Below are 24,290 nucleotides of genomic sequence, written 5' to 3'. Positions count from 1 at the left end.
TGGTTTCTCCCCCAAGGCCCATCTGCCAGGCTTGGGTAGTGCCAGAGCCGCATGAGCAAAGGAGTGGAGTTGGGAAGGTGTGTGGAACCTTCAGGAAACAGCAAAGAGTCTGTTGGGGCTCGATAGCTCCATGAACAGAATGAGAAGTGGAAGGATGAGCTAGGAGGCAAGAAGGATGGCGAAGATCCCTGCATGCCTCTAAGTTGAGACTTTACCTGTCAGCAGTTGGGAGCCATGGATGGTTTTTAAATGAGAAGTGAGATAGTAGCAGTCCTGAGGGCCAATTGGGAGGAGCAGACCAGAGGCTGTGAAAGCAGCCAGGAGGTTACTACAGTAATTCAAAGGAAAAATAATAAGATTACAGTTACTTTCTTACCATAAAAATGTCAAGTTCTTTTTTGTGGTTATTTTTATTTTAAAGTACTAATTATTGTTTTTTAATTGTAATATGGATATGAACTCAATGCAGAAAACTTGGAAAACACAAAAGAGCACAAAGGAAAATTTAAAATTGGCCATAACCTACCCACTGAAAGGTCATCATTAACATCTAGGCTGATGTCTTTACCATTTTTTCAATGCACATAAATGAATGTGTGTAAATAAATACATGCTCTTGCTATCGAAATGGCTTCTTAGCAATGCAGGGAGAATGTTTTCCCAGGTCAGCAAATGTTCTCCGTGACTCCGTCACCGTGACTCCTAATGGCTACAGTGCTTCTTGACTTGACCCCAATCTGTGCCATAGCCCTGATGTGTTTTGAATTGTATTTGCCTCCAGTCATATTTATCCTACAGTCTGTTCCCTTTCTTCCTATATTCCAACAATTCTGCAAATACCCTGTCCATGAACGGTCTTCTTCTTTTTTCCAAAACTGTTGGGATTTTTTTTTTTCTTAACATTTTTTTGGCCGGCCATTTCAAGGATTCGGGGATGGGACAGGAGGTAGATGTGTGTTTGCTCTCACCATCTTTATCCAATTCCTGTTTAAACTATTCTACCCTGTGCGTATGCCATCAGTTACTCAAGAAGGCTGCCGTTATTGAACATGGAGGTAGTTGCCAATTTTTACTGATTATAAATAATGCAGTAAACTCATACTTGTACTTTTGTGGGAACATCTCTGATTATTTTCTGAAGTTAATTCCTAGAAATAGCATATGCACATTTTTGAACCTTTTGTACATATTGCCAAATTGTCCTCCAGAAAGATCATGCCAATTTAGAGTTTCATAGCAGTATACGGGACCATTCCCTGCCAGTATTGTGTATTATTCTTTTCTGATTTTTGGCGATTGCTATTTTAATTTGCATTTTTTTCATTACTATTGAGATTGAATTTCTTTTTTACTAAGAATATTTCTCATTTCTGTTTCTCCTTTTGTAAATTGGCTGTTCATGTTGTTGGCACTTTTTCCCATTAGACTGTTCTTTTTTTTACTGATTTATAAGAGCTCTTTATAAAGTAAGGGTATCAGATCAGCCTTTTGTCATATTTGTTAAGATATTTCTCCATGTTTCATGTGACATTTAATTTTGTTTTTGATATTAGTTGATCTATTGAAAAATTTAGTGTGTTATACAGTTAAATTTATCAAGACCATTTTTTTCACCTTTCCATTATGCTTGACAAGCTCTTCCCATCTCCAAAATTTTTGTAAATACATACCTATGTTTTCTTCTAGTATATTTTTTACTTCATTCTTCACTTTATCTGGAATTTCAGTATATGGTCTGAAATATCAGCCTTTCCTCTCCTGCCATTATAGTCACTCAATTTTTCTTTCAGCACTTAATATATCTTTTTCTGATTTACTTAAAATGCCTATGCTAAATTTTATCTTTAGAAAATAATATATTACACTTTTGCTTATGCTTTAGGCCAGTTCTGTATGATCGAAATATAATGCAAACCAACATATATAATTTTAAATTTTCTAGTAGCCACATTTTATAAAGTAAAAAGAAACAGGTAACATTAATTTTAATAATATATTTTATTTAATACAACATATCCAAAATGCTATCATTTCAACATGTGTCATTAGGATTTCAAGCGCTTGATAATCACATGTGGCTGATGGCTACTGTCTTGGACGGTGCAGCTTTTGACTGTTGCTGAGTTTTTACATTTTGTTCCATTAATCTGTCTATGCTGGAATGGGTACCTCAGGGCTCCTTTATAATATAGTTTAATGTGCAGCTCTCCTTTCTTTCTTAACAGTTGCCTTCATTTTCACCAGTTTAATTCTTGGCATTTTTGTTTGAATTTTAGTTACTTTAATTAATTTGTAGAAGAGTTGACATCTTTATATACCATGTCTTCCCACTCATGCATATGGAACGTTTCTTGTTGGATCCTCAGCAAAGTTTTGTCATTTTCTTCATACAGGTCCTTTCCATGAACGGTTAGGTTTATTATCAGGTATTTTACATTTATTATTGCTTTGGGGAATGGGATCTAGTTTGCTTGATGTTTTTAAGTGGTTATTGGTGGGATATGAGAAAACTATTGATGTATATATCCACATCTTATGACTGGCTACATTGAACTCCTATTATTTCTGCTAGTTTTTCCTCTCTTAATTCTCTTGGATTTTCTAGGTAGATATAATAACATCTGGAGCAAGAATAAACTTGCTTTCTATTTTCCAGCATTATGGCATCTTTATTTTCATCATTTTTCATTGAGGCGGTACTGCATAGTGGTAAATGACAGTCATAGCAGAATGACCGTCTGAGTTCTAATTCCAACTCAGCTACTTGCCAGCTGGGTGACTTTGGGCAAGTTGTTTAATTTTTCTGTGTCCCTGATAATGGGGAAATGCTAATATAACCTTAGGTGTCATGAGTATTAAAACAGCTAACACATGTAAAGCATTTAGGGCTTAGAACAGTGTCCAAAGGAGTGAATACCCACTATTTTATATATACATATATATATATAATATATATATTATTATTATATATTATTAACATATGAATAATATATGTTATTGTCGTTAATATTGCTTCATTCACTGGATGTTCTAGAGTTATATTTTAAAATAGTGATAACAGTGGGTATTCTTGTCTTGTCCTTGACTTTAATGAGAATGCTCTTAGTAAGGTTTGATGTCTGTTAGAAGAGCAGATATTCCTCCTCATCTCAAGGGATGTTCTATTTTTATTTACTCAGTGTTTGTACCTATTTAGCTATGCATGCTAAAATGTCAGATGCCTTTTTAGAATTTGTATTGATAGCTATGGATTTTTACTTTGATCTATTAGTGTGACAAATTATAGTCATCAGTTTCCTTGTACCCATTTGGTAATACATTCATTCATTTAAGACATATGTATTGAGTGCCTAGCTTGTGTTGGTCACCATTCTAGGTGCTGTAGACACATCAGTGAGTGAAACAAAGTCCCTGCCCTCAAGGAGCTTACATTCTAGTGGGGGAAACAAATGATTTAAAAAAATAATGAGCAAATAAATTTAAAATATGTCAGATGATAACAAGTGCTAGGGAGACAAAGTAGAGTTAAGGGAGTAGGAAATCCCATGCAGAGAGTGGTGAAGTCAAGCAGAGCCTCAAAGAGGTGATGTTTGGGCAGCCACCTGAAAGCAGTGAGGGGCAGGTTATAAGGAGACCTGAGAGAAGAGGGTTCCAGGCAGAGAGAACAGATGCACAAAGGTCCTGAGGTGGGAGGGACTCTGGAAGTGCTGGAGCAATGTCAGGAAGGCTATGATGACTGGAACAGGGTGGGTGTGGGAGAAGTAGAGTGGTTGGTGTGGAGTGGAGGTGGGGCAAGAGATCTGTGGTTCTTTTAGGATATTTGTGAAGACTTTGGCTTATACTTTGAGTCAGTTGGGAAACTATTGGAGAATGTTTTGGGTTTTGTTTTTATTGGGAAAAAATTCACATACCATAAAGTCCACCATTTTAAAGCATACAATTAAATGGTTTTCAGTATATACACAATAATGTGCAACAATTACCACTATGTAATTTGAGAATATTTCATCACTCCAAAAAGAAATTCCACATCCATTAGCAGCCACTCATTTTCTCCGGCCCCCAGCTGTTAATCTACTTTCTGTCTCTATAGATTTGCCTATAATGACATTTCATATAAATGGAATTACAAAATATGTGGCATTTGTGTTAACTTATTTCACTTAGCATAATGTTTTCAAGGTTCATCCACGTTGTAGCATATATCAGTACTTCCTTTCTTTTTTATGGACAAATAATATTCCAATTTGTGGATGTAACACATTTTATCATTCATCAGTTGATGGACATTTCAGTTGTTTCTACTTTTGACTATTATGAATAATGGTGCCATGAACATTGTGTACAAGTTTTTGTGGGGATGTATGTTTTCATTTCTCTTGGATTTACACCTAGAAGTGGAATTGCTGGGTCATTTGGTAACTCTACGTTTAACATTTTGAGAAACTGCCAAGCCATTTTCTGGTTTGCATCAATGGATATACCATTTACATTCCCACCAGCAAGGTATGAGGGTTCCAGTTTCTCCACATCCTTGCAAACACTTGTTATTTTCCATTTTAGAAGAGATTATAACCATCTTAGTGGGTGTGACATGGTGTCTCATTGTGGTTTTGATGTGCATTTCTCTAATGAATAATGATGTTGAACATGTGTTCATGTGCTTATTAGCTATTTGTATATCCTCTTTGGAGATATGCCTATTCAAATCCTTTGTCCAATTTTTAATTGGGTTGTTTGTCTTTTTGTTATTGAGTTGTAAGCATTCTTTATATATTCTGGATTAGATCATATCAGATAGGTGACTTGCAAATATTTTCTCCCATTCTAAGGGTTCTTTTTACTTTCTTAATGGTGTTTTTTTGCACAAAAGTTTTTAATTTTAGTAAGGTCAAATCTATCTTTTTTTCTTTTGCTGCTTTTACTTTTGATGTCATATTTAAGAGACCATTGTCTAATTCAAGGTCATGAACACTTCAGCCCATGCTTCCTTCTAAGAATTTTATAGTCAGATACAATCCCTGATCTTTGATCTCTTTTGAGTTAACTTTTATATTTGGTGTGAGGTAAGGTTCCAACTTCATTCTTTCATATGAAGCTATTCAATTGTTCCAGGACCATTTGTTGAAAAGATTATTATTTCTTCATTAAATGGTCTTGGCACCCTTGTTGAAATCGACTGACCATTGTAGTATGGATTTCTTTCTGGACTACTGGAGAGTTTTTTTTTTAATAAGAGGGATTTTATCTGACTTAGGTTTTTAAAAGTGGTGCTTTTGGCACCACCGAGTAGAGGGTGGTGGTGACTTGAACTAGATAGTGAAAATCAACCAGATTCTAGATATTTTTGACAGTAGAGCTGACAAGATTTCCTGATGGAATGAATGAGTGTGTGAGCGATAAACAGTGAGGCATCAAAGATGGCGCCAAAGTTTTTGATCTGAGCAACTGGACAGAATGAGTTATCACTTCTCAACTTGAGGGAGAGTGCAGAGGAGCAAGTTTCCATGAAGGGGGTCAACAGTTTAGATACGCCTGTTGAATATCCAGATGGAGAGGTTGAATAGGCTATTGGATAAATGGGTCTGGCATTCATATTTACATTAAACCATATTGGCATTCCACTGTTTGTTGTGCTGTTTGTTTTTCTTTTAACCAATTCATCTATTTTTTTCTGTAAGTACGTATGATAATTTATATTTTGCCGTGATTGTGCTGTCTTTGTCAGGTTTAGTTGTCAGGAATATTCTAGTTTTACGACAAGAGTTGGAAAGCTTTCCATGTTTTTAGGTGCCCTATACAGTTTATAGATACAAATTAACTGCTCTTTGAAAATAAAAAGGTGTGTCTATGAAACCATCCAGGATTTTACATTTTTCAGTCTGCCCTTTTTACAAGTTATCTTTGTAGCTTCTTCCATGCTTATTGATTTTGGCTTTATACTCCTTAAATGGATTTAGTAACATATTTTCTCAAAAATAGTCCATTTCTTTGGGATCTTCAAATTTATTAGCATATATTTCAGGACAATTTTTAAAGCCTCTGTTTTTTTGTTATAGGCCCTTTCTTGTTTTTCCCACTTTTCCCCTTGATTAGATAGTTTGCTTCTTTTATTGATGTAATTGTTATTAACATCTTAAATTCTGTGGGAAAGAAATGGTTACATTTTTTATTATTTTTTCAAATGAAATTAAACCTGGATCAAGCACTCCATCTGCCAGATACACTAGGGTCAGTGTCTCTGTCTTGAAGTACCACCCCTCTCTAAAATGACCAACAACTCTGGTGGGTTTTCTAATAGAAAGCTGGGAGAGCCAGCATTCTGCAGCCCTTGCTTCCTGCTGCCACTTGAGTGTGCTGTGGACACTGGTCCCACTGGTTACTGCTGCTAATCTAGGTTCCCGGTTGCACTTCCTAGCATCCTCAAGCCCCTCCTGTAGATCTAGAACTTCTGTTGGCTTTTTCTTTTCGGATATCCACATCCCCACAGGTCAGAGAGGGTTCCTCTTAGAGCTCTACTCCCAAATGGTCCTGTTATTCCATTTTGCTACGTAATAGAGCTACACGTTTATCCTCCTTCTTAAAGCAGCTACTTGATTGCTTGAGGCCGTGGGGGAGGTCTACTTGCTTCTCCTTTAAAGATTACTCATCTTTTCAGACATTTCTCTTGCTAAAGAAGATAGCAGAAAAACACAAGTTAAGTCTTCAGTAGAGCATCCCATTATCTTGTTTTTTAACCAAAGGACCAGCTCTTGGATTCTTACTGGCTGTGCTTTGATTTATCTACTTCTTAATTTATTTTCTTCTGCTTTTCTCCTGAATAATACCTTCCCTTTATATGTAGGTTTCTTTCACCATTCTTCTTCTAATTTCTTAATTTGCATATTTATTTTTTACTCTTGTTTTGGTTGCTATTAAGCGTAGTTAAGCATATAAATGTCTTTGATTACAGCTTTGATGAAATCCTATAGTTTCAGCTAAATAATATCTCATCCTCATTATAATAAAACTATGCTACAATTGTACTTTAAGTTTAAAATATCGGTCTTCTACTTCCCTAAGTGCCAACCTAGAAATGCAACAATATCTATTGTAAGTTACATAAATCAGTACACTTGTTTACTCTCCATCCCTCACTGCCTCTAATTCTGTATTGTTATAATCTGAGTTTTAATTTGATTTTACTCTTTACATTGTGGATATGCTTTTTTCAGTTGCTATTTGAGATGTTCACTTTATTTTGAAACTATACTACAATAACTATGATTTTAAGATTCAAATCCATATTTACATGACTAATTTCTTCTGACATGAGTCAGTTTCATGAGTTATGTCTTTTGATTTATCTCTCTGTGGCATGAGTACATCTTTTGTTTTTCAGGAAGGTCATATGAGTTTTATATCTATGCCCTTGCATAAATCACAATTTCTCTCTGTAGCTTTGCCTATGAATGACAAGTTATCTAAGTATAAATTTCTATGATCATAAGCTCTCTAGACATTACATCAATGTTGTAATAAAGTCTGATGCAGTCTGATTTGGTTCCTTTGGAGATAAAGTTTTTTAGTCGCCTGTACCAGTTGCTTGTAGGATTCTTTCTTTATTTTTGATACTCATAAAGAAAAAATGGCACATAGCTGATTTTTGTTTTGTCTAAAATATGATTACATTTTTATTCGAAGAATCTGGTCTTTCTTCTGATTGCATTAGTTTTCTTTTATTATATCTTTAATTATTACTCTTTTGTTCTGATATCTTTTTTAGAAATATCAATAATTCATGAGTGAGCCTTTGTAGTTTATTCTCCATATTTTTGTTTTCTCTCTGGTCATTTTAATCTTAGTCCTTTTCCTTCACATTGTGAGAGAACATCTCAAGACTGTCCTCCACAATATTCATCAGTTTTTTTTTACAATTAAATTCTGCTCCTTGTTGCTTCTAATGCTTCTTAAAATTCTCATAACATTATTCATTTCCAGTCATTATTATATTAACTATGCCTGGTTTCTTTTATCTCAGTTTCTTTTCTCATATATTTTATTTTTTAGATTTAGAATCCAGATTTTATTTAACCTCCATGAAATACAAAATGGGTATTACAATTTACCTTTATTTCCTACAGCAATTCTTTTTAGAGATGATATTCTTTCTTTGCTTGAATTCCTTGTTTGTTTCCTTTATGTTTCAGAAAGTTTTCATAGGTTCCATATGCATTTTATGCCTTCTATGACCTGGTATTCGCTTACAGCATGGGTGAGTTCTTCTTGAGTCCCCTCATTGTTTTATCTAGATGCTGTTAGATTCTTCACCTTGGATATTCATCTGGAAGACTGGATGATAACATTTTATATGACCAGCCTAGGGACAAGCAGCCAAGGGATTAGGAAACCATTTGGTGGTGTGGGCCTTTCTTGTTTAAATGGTTTCTTCATGAGTTTGTCAAACAGCTGCTCCAGATGTGCAGAGATCCCCCTGGCCTCTGACTTTGTTTACTTGCCTGCTGTGTCTGCAAGGTGCCTAGGCCTGTCCTGGGGAAACTGGACTTCAATAGGCTTTGCTTGTTCGTAGATCTAATGACCCAGCCACTCCTGAAGGCTGTTGGGTTGCAGGGTGATAGGTGGACTCCTTAGTGAGAGGTAGGCCCTGCACCCTTCTGTGGCCCAGCCTCCCCTCCAGTACTTACTCACCCATCAGAGGCTGTGAGGTCAGTCTCGTCAGCACATCCACCCTCCCTGCAGCACCGCACTACTTTCTCAGGAAGGAGAGCCATGAGTCAGTCTTCAATCTGGTTCTGTTGGCACTGTACCTAGCAGAAATTCCTCAAAGTTGGTGGCATATTGATGGCACTCTTTCCTATTTTCCAAGGCTGAAGCAGATTCCCCCCTATTTTTATATTCCCTTGGTCCTTTCTGTCACTTTCAGAAGGAGGTAGCTTAGGTGGGAGTTGGACATCTGTGCTTAGCTTTACCATCTTTCTCAAAAGTTTCATAGTTAACATTGTTTCCTATACTTTGTACTTTGGTATATAGACATATGAGATTCCCTGAGCATTTCCTGTTCCATGGCCCCCCTTTTAAAATTCCTCATTTATATTGGCTTTCTTCATATCTGGTTTTATAGTTTTTCCTGGGCACTTTTCCTCTCCTTCTCAAGTTCCAGTTTAGCATCCTCTCGATCAGATGGAGAATTCTCCTGCCAAACATGGTGTTGCCAGTCTTGGGGCAGTGAGTTCTGTCCCTTGCCAGGGACTCATCATCTGGCGTCCTGAGCCACATCCTGGCCTTCAGCAATATTGATGGAGTTTCCCCACATCCTCCCTTCTCTGCCAAAGTTATGCCCTTTAAGTGGAAACAGAAGAAACCATTCCCCTGCCTCCAAGTTTCCATCCCCTTTGAAAGCCTTGTGCTTCACTAGAGAGCCATTTTGGATTTCTTCTGGCATACCCAGACCCTCCTGGGTGAGTCAGCAGACGTGGGCAGCAGGCGTTGTGGGGAGGGGGTTGCAGAGGCTCCTCCATCACTGCTTGGCTGCCTGCCCCAGGAAGACAGCACATCACACAATTTGCCATATCAAGTCTGTGAACAGCTGCCTCCCTACCCTCCGTGGGGAGTCACCAAGCTCCACACATCTGCTCCTTCCGGGGGTGGTGAAAAGATTTCTCCCATCACAGGCACCTATGAATCCCCCTTGGGGTTTCGTGAGGTATAGAGTAGCATTCTCCTGCAGAAAGCCCATAGCCAGCCTTCATGAGAAGATATACCTTTCAGGATTTAGTATCAGTGGCATCACCATCACTTCCTCTCCTTCCCCCAATCCCATGGCATGTTTTCCACACCTCCCCTTCTTGACTTTGTCATTTCTGATAATGAACACTGCCATTTATTGAACCTTAGCCATGGTAGACACTTAGCGTATATTAGCTTACCTTTTCAAGAACTCAAAGACAAGTTGTGGTTATGCCCTTTTAACAGACAAGAAAAAAAGCTCAGAGAGTTTCCTTACTCACCCAAGGTAGCCCAGCAGTGGGGACATAGCTAGCATGCTAGTCTAGAGTCACCTGACTCGAGTTCATGCTTTTGCCTCTCTCCCACAGCCTTCCTAGAGGGAAAAATAGAACCATAGGCTCTTTATCCTGAGTCTAGAACAGGGGTTTGCAAACTGTGGCCTATGGACCAAATGCAGCCCCTTGTTTTCATAAATAAAGTTTTATTGGAACATAGCCACACCCATTCATTTGCACATTGTGTATGGCTGCATTTGCAACGTTGTTGGGAAAAAACATGTAAGTCCTGCAAGGCCTAAAGTATTTACTATCTGACCCTTTACCAAAAAAAAAAAAAAAAAGTTGCCGGCTCCTAGTTTCCAGCATAGGCTATTGTAGAAAGAGATAGACTTTGAAGTTGAATCCCAGGCTCCCTACATCCTAGCTGTGTGACCTTGGGCAGTTGACTCAACAGCTCTGAATCTCATTTTATTTACCCATAAACTGGTCATAATTGTACCTTTTGGGTTTACACCCATGCCCGCAAGGAGTGATATACGTTTGAGGGCTCCACATATGACAGGCACTCAGTAAATGAGTCCCCACTGTTGCTCCGGCCTTTCCCGTCTATCACGGATGTGCAGACTTCTCTAATTTTTCTCTTCCCTTCTGGAGCATTCTGGCAGTTCTGCCTAAGAACCCTTGCTCTTCTCTGATCACTGGAGCACAGAGAAAGCACAGATGCTCCTCAAGCCTCCCCCTTGAAACGCTGGGCACCAGGTGTTAAGTGACACCCACCTCAGGCAGATGCATAGGGTGTCCTGTGGTCTCATTCATTCCCTCATTCAGCCAGTGCTGACTGAGCCAGGCCATTATGCCAAAATCTGACAGGGGCTCAGACAGAGCCTTCAGGCCCTTCAGTTGCTCACAGCCCAGGGGCAGATGGACAGATTAACAAGCCGCAGCAATAACAGTAATCTTGGTGCCTCTAGATTTTGGTCCCCTTTGGAAAATTCCATTCAGACTCTACAGAGTAAATACCTGTTCCCTGGAGTCTCTGAGTACTGCTCGTAAGAAGATACATTATAAAATCTGCTTAGTTTAGCACAGTTTCAGACCCTGCTCCCAGGCTGGCAGCCTGCTCAGCACTTTGGTGCAGTGTCCACCCCAAGACACAGTCGGCTCACCTAGACCACCGCTCCCTCCCAGGGCACACACTCAGCACCTCTACAGGATGGGGCTGGCTCCATGGGCTTCGTGGGAGGGGAAGCGCAGACTGTCTTTCCTGACCTTGAGGGAGCTGTCCAGAGTTTAGATCCTCTCCATACATGAGCAACCCAGCATCCTCCCCCAGACACCTGGGCTGGCTGTGGGGCTGAGGGGACCTCATGCTCTGTGCTGCTGTAGTGGATTCTCTGGGCTGTTGATCACTGAAGATCGTCCCAGTTACTCCAGAGCAGGGCCGAGAAAGCAGGGCCTGGGAGGAAGAAGCAGGGGATGCCAGTGTTCACAAGGGGTGAGTGCATCTCATTGGAGAATCCAGAAGGACTTCATGGAGGAAGGGCTATTTACCATAGGGCTTAAAGGGTAAGCAGGACTTAGACATAGGAGGGCTGAAGTCCGAAACTTAAGGGGATTCGCGCATGCATGGTCAGTGGTGAAATGAATTACAAAGTGTATCTTATAATCTTAGGTGAAAACATATGGATATAAAAAATTATACTTTGATAATTTCTACCTGAAAAACTTATATCTACAGTATTAGCGTCCTGGCAAGAAACAGACGGCATCTTCAGAGCTGAAGTCCGATTTAGATGAAGTACTTTAGGCAGAGGCAATGGAACCAACCAGGGCTACTGCAGCTCCAGGGGCTAGCAATGGCTGGAGTCACGAGCATCAACTGCTCTGGAGGACAAGGGGAGGGGCAGAGCTACTGGAATTGGGAGGAGCAGCCGCTTCACACGGGCTCTAACCAAGCCAGGAAGCAGCCAAGGTAAAAAATACCCGGAACTCTTTCTCGCCTTCTTTCTGACTCCTCCTGGGGCCTCCCATTGGCTCTCTTTCACTGAGCTCCCATAGGCTCCCTAACTCCTACTGGGCTCCCATTGGCCCTCTGACTCCTGCTAGGCTCTCACTGGTCCTCTGACTCCTGCTAGGCTCTCACTGGTCCTCTGACTCCCTCTGGACTCTCACTGGTCTTCTGACTCCTGCTGGGCTCCCATTGGCCCTCTGACTCCCACTGGGTTCTCATTGGTCTTCTGACTCCTGCCGGGCTCCCATTGGCCAAGCCCAGCTGGAAGTTAGAGGACCAGGCCACTCACGTGCTGCCCTATCTGAAAGTTCTAATTCCATGAAAAAAGCAGGGCAGGGCAGGGCAGGCTGGCGCATGTGGATGAAAGCAAATGGGAATAACCAACATGATGAGATATTATACTAGTTGGATTAGTGTACTGGGCACAGGGATAGTTTTATCACTTTACTCCTTTCCTCACTTACAATGAAGTTTAGACATTATTTTGAAAAGCTTAAAGTCTTTGAGTCACTATGAGGGTTCTACAGCAAGCAGCTGCGTTTCGGGCTCTCAGCAGGCAATATTGTCATCTGATAACTTGGTGGCAATGTAGTGGTTTGGTCCAAGCTGACACATATGTGGGTGGAGGGCGAGCCTGTTCAAGGTCAGTTTCGCCAGGAGAGGGACTCTCTTGGGGCTCAGCATACAGGAGATTTGTTAGCCAGTGCCCACAGGAAGGGGTGGGAAAGGTGGGACTGGGTGAAGGAAGAAGCTGACACACAATGAGGTTGCAAAAGGAACCTCAGCCAAGCTTGCCCATGGGGAGCTATGGAGCTAGGATGGCCCTTCAGAGAAGTCCCAAATAGAGACCAGAAGGCTGGGCCAGTCACTGGGTGCAGGCGGTCCTGGGGAAGGTGTGTGACCTTGAATGAGGCTGCCTCCTTTATTCAAGGGCAAATCCGGAATGAGTGCCTCTGTTCTGGCAGTGCACCGTAGTATCTCCATCAGAGGGCCCTTAGGAACAAAGGAGTTTAAGCTAAAGGGCCACTCAGACTGGAGCACACTAAAAGGGTGTCTCTCAAATCTGGTCGTGCAACCAAGATCTCACAGCATTTTGTGCAAACACAGATTGCTGGCCTCCCTCCTGTACCAGTGTCTGAATCGCTCTGTTGGGGCCCAGGAATCTGTATTTCTACAAAGCTCCTGGGAAGATGCAGATGCATAAGCATCCTTGGAAGCTGCTGCCCTAAACTCTGAGCCCAAGGGTGGTTGATATCGGGGAGATTTCCAGGTCTGTTTAGCGCTACCAGGCAACTGCTCTGTGCCAAGCCTTGTGCTGGGTCCTGGAACCCAGGAGCTAGGAGCCAGGATCACCAAAGATGGTGCCACCCTCGGGGTCAGGAATGGGGCTGGGTACTGCGTGGGAGCAGCGCCTGTCTTGGATTTTGGAAAGGGTCCTGAAAGGTCTGCAACTGGTGGCTCTCTTGGGGGCTTAGTGTTCTGTTGCTGCCGTTAAATAAATGGCTTTGGGCAATATTGGTCTAGAGGCAAGAAACTGGGTTTGAGTCCCAGCTCCGTGCCTAGAAAGTTGTGTGATTTGGGGCAAGTTTCTATTCTTCTTGGGACTTCAGTTTCCCCAGCTGTCCAATGAGGGCTGGTGAGTTGGTGTGTGGCAGCCTGGTTCTGATGGTCTGAGCTCAGCCTCTCTCAGACATGAGGAGTGGGCCTGAGAGTGTCAGCACTCACTCTGCCTGCTGGACAGAGGGCTCCCTTTGCAGACCTTGGGGCCAGGAGGTGAAGGTGGAGTGCATCCTCAGTGTTCTTGTCTCCTTCTTTTATTACCATTCTCTGATTGTGATGCCCTTGCTTCCTGGATATGTCCAGTTCTGCCATGCTTCTCTTTCCCGTGTGTCCTAATCGCTTGCTTTTTGCCAGGCTTTATATCCAGCATGGATACACAGAGAGGCCCCAACACAGTCTCAACTCCCCAGGGCCTGCCAGTCTAGAGAGGGATGCTCAAGGAGGAAAGCCACTCACTGGGTCCTCTCCCTGCAGGAACCACCTAGGGGCCAGGCCAGTGCCACCACCCAAGCTCTTCCTCTCTTCTTCCTCTACTCTCCCCTCCTGGATGTTTGGAAGTCAGAGAGACATGAGTATCAGTCTTGACCCTCTGACTTACTACTTGTAAGGCTTTGGGCAAGTGACTTAATCTTTCAAGTCCCTCATTTGTGAAATGGAAACAAGAATGGGATCTGCTTTGTAAGATTGTTGAGGATGAAATTCACTCCAGAGTCAATCCTGGTGTGTCGCCTGTGGCCCCCTTCCTCCCTGAGGGCTTGGAGTGAGGGATGGGGGTGGGAGAGGGGGAGTGGAGGGAAGGGAAGGAGGAGAGGTGGGCTCTGGGAGCAGTTTGCACCTATGCCTTTTGCTGTCTGTGCCAAGGCGAGTCCCAGCCCTTCAGTTCCTCACCTCATTCCACACCCCAAATCTGAAGCCCTAGAAGAAGGGAGCCAGTGGAAGCCAAGAAAGGGGGTTTGCAAATGCTAGGGGCTTAGGATGTTAGAGCAGAACATAAGTTGAGGACAAATCACCCACTTTGGAATCCAGAACTGGAAAGAAAGCTGCTAATAAAAAGTGCAGTGATTTCCCAGGGTCTCAGAAAAGAGTCCTTTAAACTCCACCTTGAAGTGCAAAGGTGGACAATTTGATCGCACTGCTCGTCCAGCTTATGGAGCGGCCTGAAGCTGTCCTATTTCTGCAGGGGTGAGAACAGGTACCACCTAGGCAGCTCCCCATGGGCAAGTTTGGCTGAGGCCTCTCTTGCAACTTCTCAGGTTTGAGAATTTGAGACGTTCCTTGGAGATGCAGCAGTCTCGTCTGCCCCTCCATCTGATGCCTGAATCCCTTCTACAGCCTGTGCAACCCACCTCTGCTTGCACACCTGTCATGGCGGGGAGCTCAGTCCCACCTGGGGAAGGGTCCATCCTTCCTTGGCTCATTCTCTTGTTAGAAAGTTCTGTCTCTGAGGGAGCTGAAATCTACTTCCTGGTGGCCTCCCCCACTGGAACTGGCCCTTTCCCTGAGGCCCAGGTGCCACGCCAGTCCCCTGGGTTTGGTGGCAGTTCTTCAGGGATGCACGAAGTGATATCTCACAAGCCTAGACTTCCCCATGTGGCCGCCTGCCATCCCCTCCACCATTCTTCAAGAGACAAGAGCAGGGATGGGGCTCAGACAGCCAGGGAATGGTTTTTTAATTATTATTATTATACTTTAAGTTTTAGGGTACATGTGCACAACGTGCAGATTTGTTACATATATATACATGTGCCATGTTGGTGTGCTGCACCCATTAACTCGTCATTTAGCATTAGGTATATCTCCTAATGCTATCCCTCCCCCCTCCCCCCACCCTACAACAGTCCCCGGTGTGTGACGTTCCCCTTCCTGTGTCCATGTGTTCTCATTGTTCAATTCCCACCTATGAGTGAGAACATGCTGTGTTTGTTTTTTTGTCCTTGCGATAGTTTGCTGAGAATGGTGGTTTCCAGATTCATCCATGTCCCTGCAAAGGACATGAACTCATCATTTTTTATGGCTGCATAGTATTCCATGGTGTGTATGTGCCACATTTTCTTTTTTATTATTATTATTATTATTATTATACTTTAAGTTTTAGGGTACATGTGCACATTGTGCAGGTTAGTTACATATGTATACATGTGCCGTGCTGGTGTGCTGCACCCACTAACTCGTCATCTAGCATTAGGTATATCTCCCAATGCTATCCCTCTCCCCTCCCCCTACCCCACAACAGTCCCCAGAGTGTGATATTCCCCTTCCTGTGTCCATGTGATCTCATTGTTCAATTCCCACCTATGAGTGAGAATATGCGGTGTTTGGTTTTTTGTTCTTGCGATAGTTTACTGAGAATGATGATTTCCAATTTCATCCATGTCCCTACAAAGGACATGAACTCATCATTTTTTATAGCTGCATAGTATTCCATGGTGTATATGTGCCACATTTTCTTAATCCAGTCTATCGTTGGATATTTAGGTTGGTTCCAAGTCTTTGCTATTGTGAATAGTCCCGCAATAAACACATGTGTGCATGTGTCTTTATAGCAGCATGATTTATAGTCCTGTGGGTATATACCCAGTAATAGGATGGCTGGGTCAAATGGTATTTCTACTTCTAGATCCCTGAGGAATCGCCGCACTGACTTCCACAATGGTTGAACTAGTTTACAGTCCCACCAACAGTGTAAAAGTGTTCCTATTTCTCCACATCCTCTCCAGCACCTGTTGTTTCCTGACTTTTTAATGATCGCCATTCTAACTGGTGTGAGATGGTATCTCATTGTGGTTTTGATTTGCACTTCTCTGATGGCCAGTGATGATGAGCATTTTTTCATGTGTTTTTTGGCTGCATAAATGTCTTCTTTTGAGAAGTGTCTGTTCATATCCTTCGCCCACTTTTTGATGGGGTTGTTTGTTTTTTTTTTGTAAAATTGTTTGAGTTCATTGTAGATTCTGGATATTAACCCTTTGTCAGATGAGTAGGTTGCAAAAATTTTCTCCCATTCTGTAGGTTGCCTGTTCACTCTGATGGTAGTTTCTTTTGCTGTGCAGAAGTTCTTTAGTTTAATTAGATCCCATTTGTCAATTTTGGCTTTTGTTGCCATTGCTTTTGGTGTTTTAGACATGAAGTCCTTGCCCATGCCTATGTCCTGAATCTTATTGCCTAGGTTTTCTTCTAGGGTTTTTATGGTTTTAGGTCTAACATTTAAGTCTTTAATCCATCTTGAATTAATTTTTGTATAAGGTGTAAGGAAGGGATCCAGTTTCAGCTTTCTACATATGGCTAGCCAGTTTTCCCAGCACCATTTATTAAATAGGGAATCCTTTCCCCATTGATTGTTTTTGTCAGGTTTGTCAAAGATCAGATAGTTGTAGATGTGTGGCATTATTTCTGAGGGCTCTGTTCTGTTCCATTGGTCTATATCTCTGTTTTGGTACCAGTACCATGCTGTTTTGGTTACTGTAGCCTTGTAGTATAGTTTGAAGTCAGGTAGCGTGATGCCTCCAGCTTTGTTCTTTTGGCTTAGGATTGACTTGGTGATGCGGGCTCTTTTTTGGTTCCATATGAACTTTAAAGTAGTTTTCTCCAATTCTGTGAAGAAAGTCATTGGTAGCTTGATGAGGATGGCATTGAATCTATAAATTACCTTGGGCAGTGTGGCCATTTGCACGATATTGATTCTTCCTACCCATGAGCATGGAATGTTCTTCCATTTGTTTGTATCCTGTTTTATTTCATTGAGCAGTGGTTTGTAGTTCTCCTTGAAGAGGTCCTTCACATCCCTTGTAAGTTGGATTCCTAGGTATTTTATTCTCTTTGAAGCAATTGTGAATGGGAATTCACTCATGATTTGGCTCTCTGTTTGTCTGTTATTGGTGTATAAGAATGCTTGTGATTTTTGTACATTGATTTTGTATCCTGAGACTTTGCTGAAGTTGCTGATCAGCTTGAGATTTTGGGCTGAGACGATGGGGTTTTCTAGATATACAATCATGTCATCTGCAAACAGGGACAATTTGACTTCCTCTTTTCCTAATTGAATACCCTTTATTTCCTTCTCCTGCCTAATTGCCCTGGCCAGCACTTCCAACACTATGTTGAATAGGAGTGGTGAGAGAGGGCATCCCTGTCTTGTGCCCGTTTTCAAAGGGAATGCTTCCAGTTTTTGCCCATTCAATATGATATTGGCTGTGGGTTTGTCATAGATAGCTCTTATTATTTTGAGATACGTCCCATCAATACCTAATTTATTGAGAGTTTTTAGCATGAAGGGCTGTTGAATTTTGTCAAAGGCCTTTTCTGCATCTATTGAGATAATCATGTGGTTTTTGTCTTTGGTTCTGTTTATATGCTGGATTACATTTATTGATTTTCATATGTTGAACCAGCCTTGCATCCCAGGGATGAAGCCCACTTGATCATGGTGGATAAGCTTTTTGATGTGCTGCTGGATTTGGTTTGCCAGTATTTTATTGAGGATTTCTGCATCGATGTTCATGAAGGATATTGGTCTAAAATTCTCTTTTTTGGTTGTGTCTCTACCAGGCTTTGGTATCAGGATGATGTTGGCCTCATAAAATGAGTTAGGGAGGATTCCCTCTTTTTCTATTGATTGGAATAGTTTTAGAAGGAATGGTACCAGTTCCTCCTTGTACCTCTGGTAGAATTCGGCTGTGAATCCATCTGGTCCTGGAATTTTTTTGGTTGGTAATCTATTGATTATTGCCTCAATTTCAGAGCCTGTTATTGGTCTATTCAGAGATTCAATTTCTTCCTGGTTTAGTCTTGGGAGGATGTATGTGTCGAGGTATTTATCCATTTCTTCTAGATTTTCTAGTTTATTTGCATAGAGGTGTTTATAGTATTCTCTGATGGTAGTTTGTATTTCTATGGGATCGGTGGTGATATCCCCTTTATCATTTTTTATTGTGTCTATTTGATTCTTCTCTCTTTTCTTCTTTATTAGTCTTGCTAGCGGTGTATCAATTTTGTTGATCTTTTCAAAAAAACCAGCTCCTGGATTCATTAATTTTTTGAAGGATTTTTTGTGTCTCTATCTCCTTCAGTTCTGCTCTGATCTTAGTTATTTCTTGCCTTCTGCTAGCTTTTGAATGTGTTTGCTCTTGCTTTTCTAGTTCTTTTAATTGTGATGTTAGGGTGTCAATTTTAGATCTTTCCTGCTTTCTCTTGTGGGCATTTAGTGCTATAAATTTCCCTCTACACACTGCTTTGAATGTGTCCCAGAGATTCTGGTATGTTGTGTCTTTGTTCTCGTTGGTTTCAAAGAACATCTTTATTTCTGCCTTCATTTCATTATGTACCCAGTAGTCATTGAGGTGCAGGTTGTTCAGTTTCCATGTAGTTGTGCAGTTTTGAGTGAGTTTCTTAATCCTGAGTTCTAGTTTGATTGCACTGTGGTCTGAGAGGCAGTTTGTTATAACTTCTGTTCTTTTACATTTGCTGAGGAGTGCTTTACTTCCAACTATGTGGTCAATTTTGGAATAGGTGTGGTGTGGTGCTGAAAAGAATGTATATTCTGTTGATTTGGGGTGGAGAGTTCTGTAGATGTCTATTAGGTCTGCTTGGTGCAGAGCTGAGTTCAAGTCCTGGGTATCCTCGTTGATCTTTCTAATGTTGACAGTGGGGTGTTAAAGTCTCCCATTATTATTGTGTGGGAGTCTAACTCTCTTTGTAGGTCACTCAGGACTTGCTTTATGAATCTGGGTGCTCCTGTATTGGGTGCATATATATTTAGGATAGTTAGCTCTTCTTGTTGAATTGATCCCTTTACCATTATGTAATGGCCTTCTTTGTCTCTTTTGATCTTTGTTGGTTTACAGTCTGTTTTATCAGAGACTAGGATTGCAACCCCTGCCTTTTTTTGTTTTCCGTTTGCTTGGTAGATCTTCCTCCATCCCTTTATTTTGAGCCTATGTGTGTCTCTGCACATGAGATGGGTTTCCTGAATACAGCACACTGATGGGTCTTGACTCTTTATCCAATTTGCCAGTCTGTGTCTTTTAATTGGAGCATTTAGCCCATTTACATTTAAAATTAATATTGTTATGTGTGAATTTGATCCTCTCATTATGATGTTAGTTGTTTATTTTGCTCGTTAGTTGATGCAGTTTCTTCCTAGCCTTGATGGTCTTTACAATTTGGCATGTTTTTGCAGTGGCTGGTACCAGTTGTTCCTTTCCATGTTTAGTGCTTCCTTCAGGAGCTCTTTTAGGGCAGGCCTGGTGGTGACAAAATCTCTCAGCATTTGCTTGTCTGGAAAGGATTTTATTTCTTCTTCACTTATGAAGCTTAGTTTGGCTGGATATGAAATTCTGGGTTGAAAATTCTTTTCTTTAAGAATGTTGAATATTGGTCCCCACTCTCTTCTGGCTTGTAGAGTTTCTGCTGAGAGATCAGCTGTTAGTCTGATGGACTTCCCTTTGTGGGTAACCCGACCTTTCTCTCTGGCTGCTCTTAGTATTTCTTCCTTCATTTCAACTTTGGTGAATCTGACAATTATGTGTCTTGGAGTTGCTCTTCTCGAGGAGTATCTTTGTGGCATTCTCTGTATTTCCTGAATTTGAATGTTGGCCTGCCTTGCTAGATTGGGGAAGTTCTCCTGGATAATATCCTGCAGAGTGTTTTCCAACTTGGTTCCATTCTCCCCGTCACTTTCAGGTACACCAATCAGACATAGATCTGGTCTTTTCACATAGTCCCATATTTCTTGGAGACTTTGTTCATTTCTTTTTATTCTTTTTTCTCTAAACTTCTCTTCTCACTTCATTTCATTCATTTCATCTTCCATCCCTGATACCCTTTCTTCCAGTTGATCGCATTGGCTACTGAGGTTTGTGCATTCGTCACGTAGCTCTCGTGCCTTGGTTTTCAGCTCCATCAGGTCCTTTAAGGACTTCTCTGCATTGGTTATTCTAGTTATCCATTCGTCTAATTTTTTTTCAAAGCTTTTAACTTCTTTGCCATTGGTTCGAATTTCCTCCTGTAGCTCGGAGTAGTTTGATCATCTGAAGTCTTCTTCTCTCAACTCGTCAAAGTCATTCTCCATCCAGCTTTGTTCTGTTGCTGGTGAGGAGCTGTGTTCCTTTGGAGGAGGAGAGGTGCTCTGATTTTTAGAGTTTCCAGTTTTTCTGCTCTGTTTTTTTCCCATCTTTGTGGTTTTATCTACCTTTGGTCTTTGATGATGGTGACGTACAGATGGGGTTTTTGGTGTGGCTTTCCTTTCTGTTTGTTAGTTTTCCTTCTAACGGACAGGACCCTCAGCTGCAGGTCTGTTGGAGTTTGCTAGAGGTCCACTCCAGATCCTGTTTGCCTGGGTATCAGCAGTGGTGGCTGCAGAACAATGGATATTGGAGAACCGCAAATGCTGCTGCCTGATTGTTCCTCTGGAAGTTTTGTCTCAGAGGAGTACCCAGTCGTGTGAGGTGTCAGTCTGCCCCTACTGGGGTGTGCCTCCCAGTTAGGCTACTCGGGAGTCAGGGACCCACTTGAGGAGGCAGTCTGCCCATTGTCACATCTCCAGCTGCATGCTGGGAGAACCACTACTCTCTTCAAAGCTGTCAGACAGGGACATTTAAGTCTGCAGAGGTTACTGCTGTCTTTTTGTTTGTCTGTGCCCTGCCCCCAGAGGTGGAGCCTACAGAGGCAGGCAGGCCTCCTTGAGCTGTGGTGGGCTCCACCCAGTTGGAGTTTCCTGCCGCTTTGTTTACCTAATCAAACAACTAACTCAGCAGTGGCGGGCGCCCCTCCCCCAGCCTCGCTGTTGCCTTGCAGCTTGATCTCGGACTGCTGTGCTAGCAATGAGCGAGACTTCATGGGCGTAGGACCCTCCGAGCCATGCGCGGGATATAATCTCCTGGTGCGCCATTTTTTAAGCCCGTTGGAAAAGCGCAGTATTAGGGTGGGAGTGACCCAATTTTCCAGGTGCCGTCTGTTACCCCTTTCTTTGACTAGGAAAGGGAATTCCCTGACTCCTTGCGCTTCCCTGGTGAGGCGATGCCTTGCCCTGCTTTGGCTCGCGCACGGTGCGCTGCACCCACTGTCCTGCACTTACTGTCTGGCACTCCCCAGTGAGATGAACCCGGTACTTCAGTTGGAAATGCAGAAATCACCCATCTTCTGCATCGCTCACGCTGGGAACTGTAGACCGGAGCTGTTCCTATTCGGCCATCTTGGCTCCTCCTCCCCAGGGAATGGTTTTGAAGTGGGCTTGCTTTGGTGCTCTCAGGTGTGATTTCTTAATATCCGTCTTCTAGTTTGGTGTCAGAGGCTCACTTTGCATATTGCTGATTTCCTATAGAAGTTTCTATTCATCACCTTAACTATATAGCCTCCCTGTTTTATTAATACCCAGTGTTTTTGTAAACATTGGTTTGGTCCCTCGAGTCTGGAACAATTAAAGCAATGGGCAGTTTGTCACAAGGAAAGCAATAAGGTCTGATGGCTAATTTCATTCCCCAACAGCTCAGCATAGCCTGACTTCACCGACTGCTCCTAGAGTGGGTGAGGTCCTTGAAAAATGAGGGCCAAAGGGAAGACTGATGGTTGGGGATGCCCAACAGGAAATTTTTGTGCATTATCCAAGAAAGGTGCTTGGACCTGGTCCTGCTTCCTCAGGCAGCCCCTGTGCTAGGCATCTGGAGGGGCAAGAGGTGTCCCAGATGGAAGGTGTGTGAGATATCAGGACATTCATTCTGTTTAGCCGAGAAGAGGGATCTTGAGCCCAGGACTGTGGAGTTCAGAGGATAAGTCACTGCTAGCCTGGGAACAAGGGAAGGCTTCAAACAGCATGTTGGCATTTCAAGATGTATGGGATCTCAGGGTGAAAGCTTATTGTATCAGTTTCCTGTTCTGCTGCAACAAATCATCATAAATTTAGTGGCTTTAAACAACACAAATTATTATCTTATAGTTCTGAAGATCAGAAGTTCAAAATCATTGGGTCAATATCAAGGTGTTCTTGATTTTGACTGGTTCCTTCTGGAGGCTTTAGGGGAGAATGTTTCCTTGCCTTTCCCACCTTCTAGATGCTGCCCGTGAGCCTTGGTTCCTGGCCTCTTCCTCCACTTTCAAAGCCAGCAGCAGAGCATCTTTGAACAAATTTCTTCCCTGACTCTGACTTTTCTACCTCCCTCCTTCCCTTATAAAGACCCTTGGGATCATGTTGGGCCACCAGGATAATCCCAGATGGTTGCTCCATCTTGACATCCTTAACTTCATCCTGTCTGCAAAGTCCCCTTTGCCACATAAGGTAACATATTTTAGGGATTTGGACATGGACATTGTTGGGGGAAGGGCATGACTCTATCCATCACTGATGATTCTTTGGAATTTCTAAAACTGAGAAATCAGTTTTCCATCAGCCTGGCTGATCGAAAGAGGGATTTGATTTGATTTGAAAGCCAGAGCAGCCCCAGTTGCCTTCTTGAAATTGGGCCGAGGGTGCGTTTCTCCCCTACAGTATGTGGTTCTGGGAGACAGGCCTCCGAGGAGCAGTGGTGGGCTGGGGAGAGGAGCAGCCTACAGCCTCCCTGCCCTCCCTCTGGAGGACTTTCATAGTGCAGTGATAGTGCTGACAGCTGGCATTGTGGGTTGGGTGTGAGGGCCTGTAGCTCTACCAGGTGGGATCTCTGCTCCCAATTGCCATGTAGGCCAGCTGGACTCCCAGCAGGTAGGAGCTGCCATGAGGTCTTGATGTGTGTAGCTGGGCAGGTCTCAGGTCACAGGTGCCTGACACTCTCTGCCATTGTGAGAGAGGCAGGGAACTGTCCCCAGGGAACTCCAGCTGCCCTCAGGCCCCATATGTCCCCACAGGGGTGCCCCCAGAGCACCACAGCTCTCCCCAGATTTCTTCCTTCATTGGGGCCCTGATAGAGTTCCAGCTAGCGCTGCCCCTGGGACTCACCCCTGTGTCTGCAGACTGGGTCTTCAGCCTCAGCATGCAGCCCAGCCCTTGCGAAGTTGCCTCATCCCTGCGAGACCAGCTCAAGATGGGTCTAGTGGGCTTGGAATATTAACCTCCTCCATCTAAGAGTGGGTGGCCATGGTGCAGCCTCAGCATGCACTCATCCATGCTCTCATTCACCACAATTCTGAGCACCTACTATATGCCAGGCACTACACAGGATCCTGAGATCAAAACAAACCAAGTGCTTCCCTCCTGGAGCTGACACGTCCATGGGGAAGAAAATGTTACAGCCCCCATACTCATGGTCATCTCTTTGCAAGTCAACTCAAAGTCAGTGATGCAGACTCCTGAGCCCTCCACTGAAGCTCCATGAGGCCAGCGCCCCTGTCCCAGGCACCCACATTTCCACGATGCACAGCGTATGGTCCTCCACTTGTTTCCCTGCTTTTGGTAATTCTGGAGATGTAAGAAATACCATATATCTTTGGGACAGACAAATGGTGCCATCAAATAGAGGGAAACTGGGGTTCCATTCCAGAGGCCTTGACATGTGATGTGAGCATCTAGATTGGATAGGAAGCCCAGGCTTCTCCATGGGAACCTGCCCCAGGTGTATTAGTTTCCTGTGGCTGCCGAAACAAATCGCCACAAACTAGGTGGCTTAAAACAACAGAAATGTATTGTCTCATAGTTCTGGAGGCCAGAGGTCCTAAATGAAGGTGTCAGCAGGCTTGCCCTGGAGTCTCTAGGAGAGAATCCTTGCCTGCATCTCCCAGCTTCTGGTGGCTCC

General features: G+C 42.7%; 1 protein-coding gene across 3 annotated transcripts in view, besides 1 other annotated feature; it reads left to right on the top strand.

Moving 5' to 3' along the window:
* The window catches only part of GABBR2 (gamma-aminobutyric acid type B receptor subunit 2), a 420,827-nt gene that overhangs the window by 178,880 nt on the left and 217,657 nt on the right, over positions 1–24,290 (top strand). The gene's annotated exons all lie outside the window — the stretch shown is intronic.
* Positions 20,961–21,491: an enhancer, noted in NCBI's record as "H3K4me1 hESC enhancer chr9:101270847-101271377 (GRCh37/hg19 assembly coordinates)". NCBI's record gives its function as "activates a minimal SCP1, AML or CMV promoter by ChIP-STARR-seq in primed H9 embryonic stem cells {active_cell/tissue: H9 hESC(primed)}" and the evidence as "EXISTENCE:reporter gene assay evidence [ECO:0000049][PMID:30033119]".

This window comes from Homo sapiens, chromosome 9 (genome assembly GCF_000001405.40).
Source record: "Homo sapiens chromosome 9, GRCh38.p14 Primary Assembly".
Lineage (NCBI taxonomy): Eukaryota > Metazoa > Chordata > Mammalia > Primates > Hominidae > Homo > Homo sapiens.
Note: the sequence above shows the minus strand (reverse complement) of the source record. Positions and strands in the feature narration are given on the sequence as shown.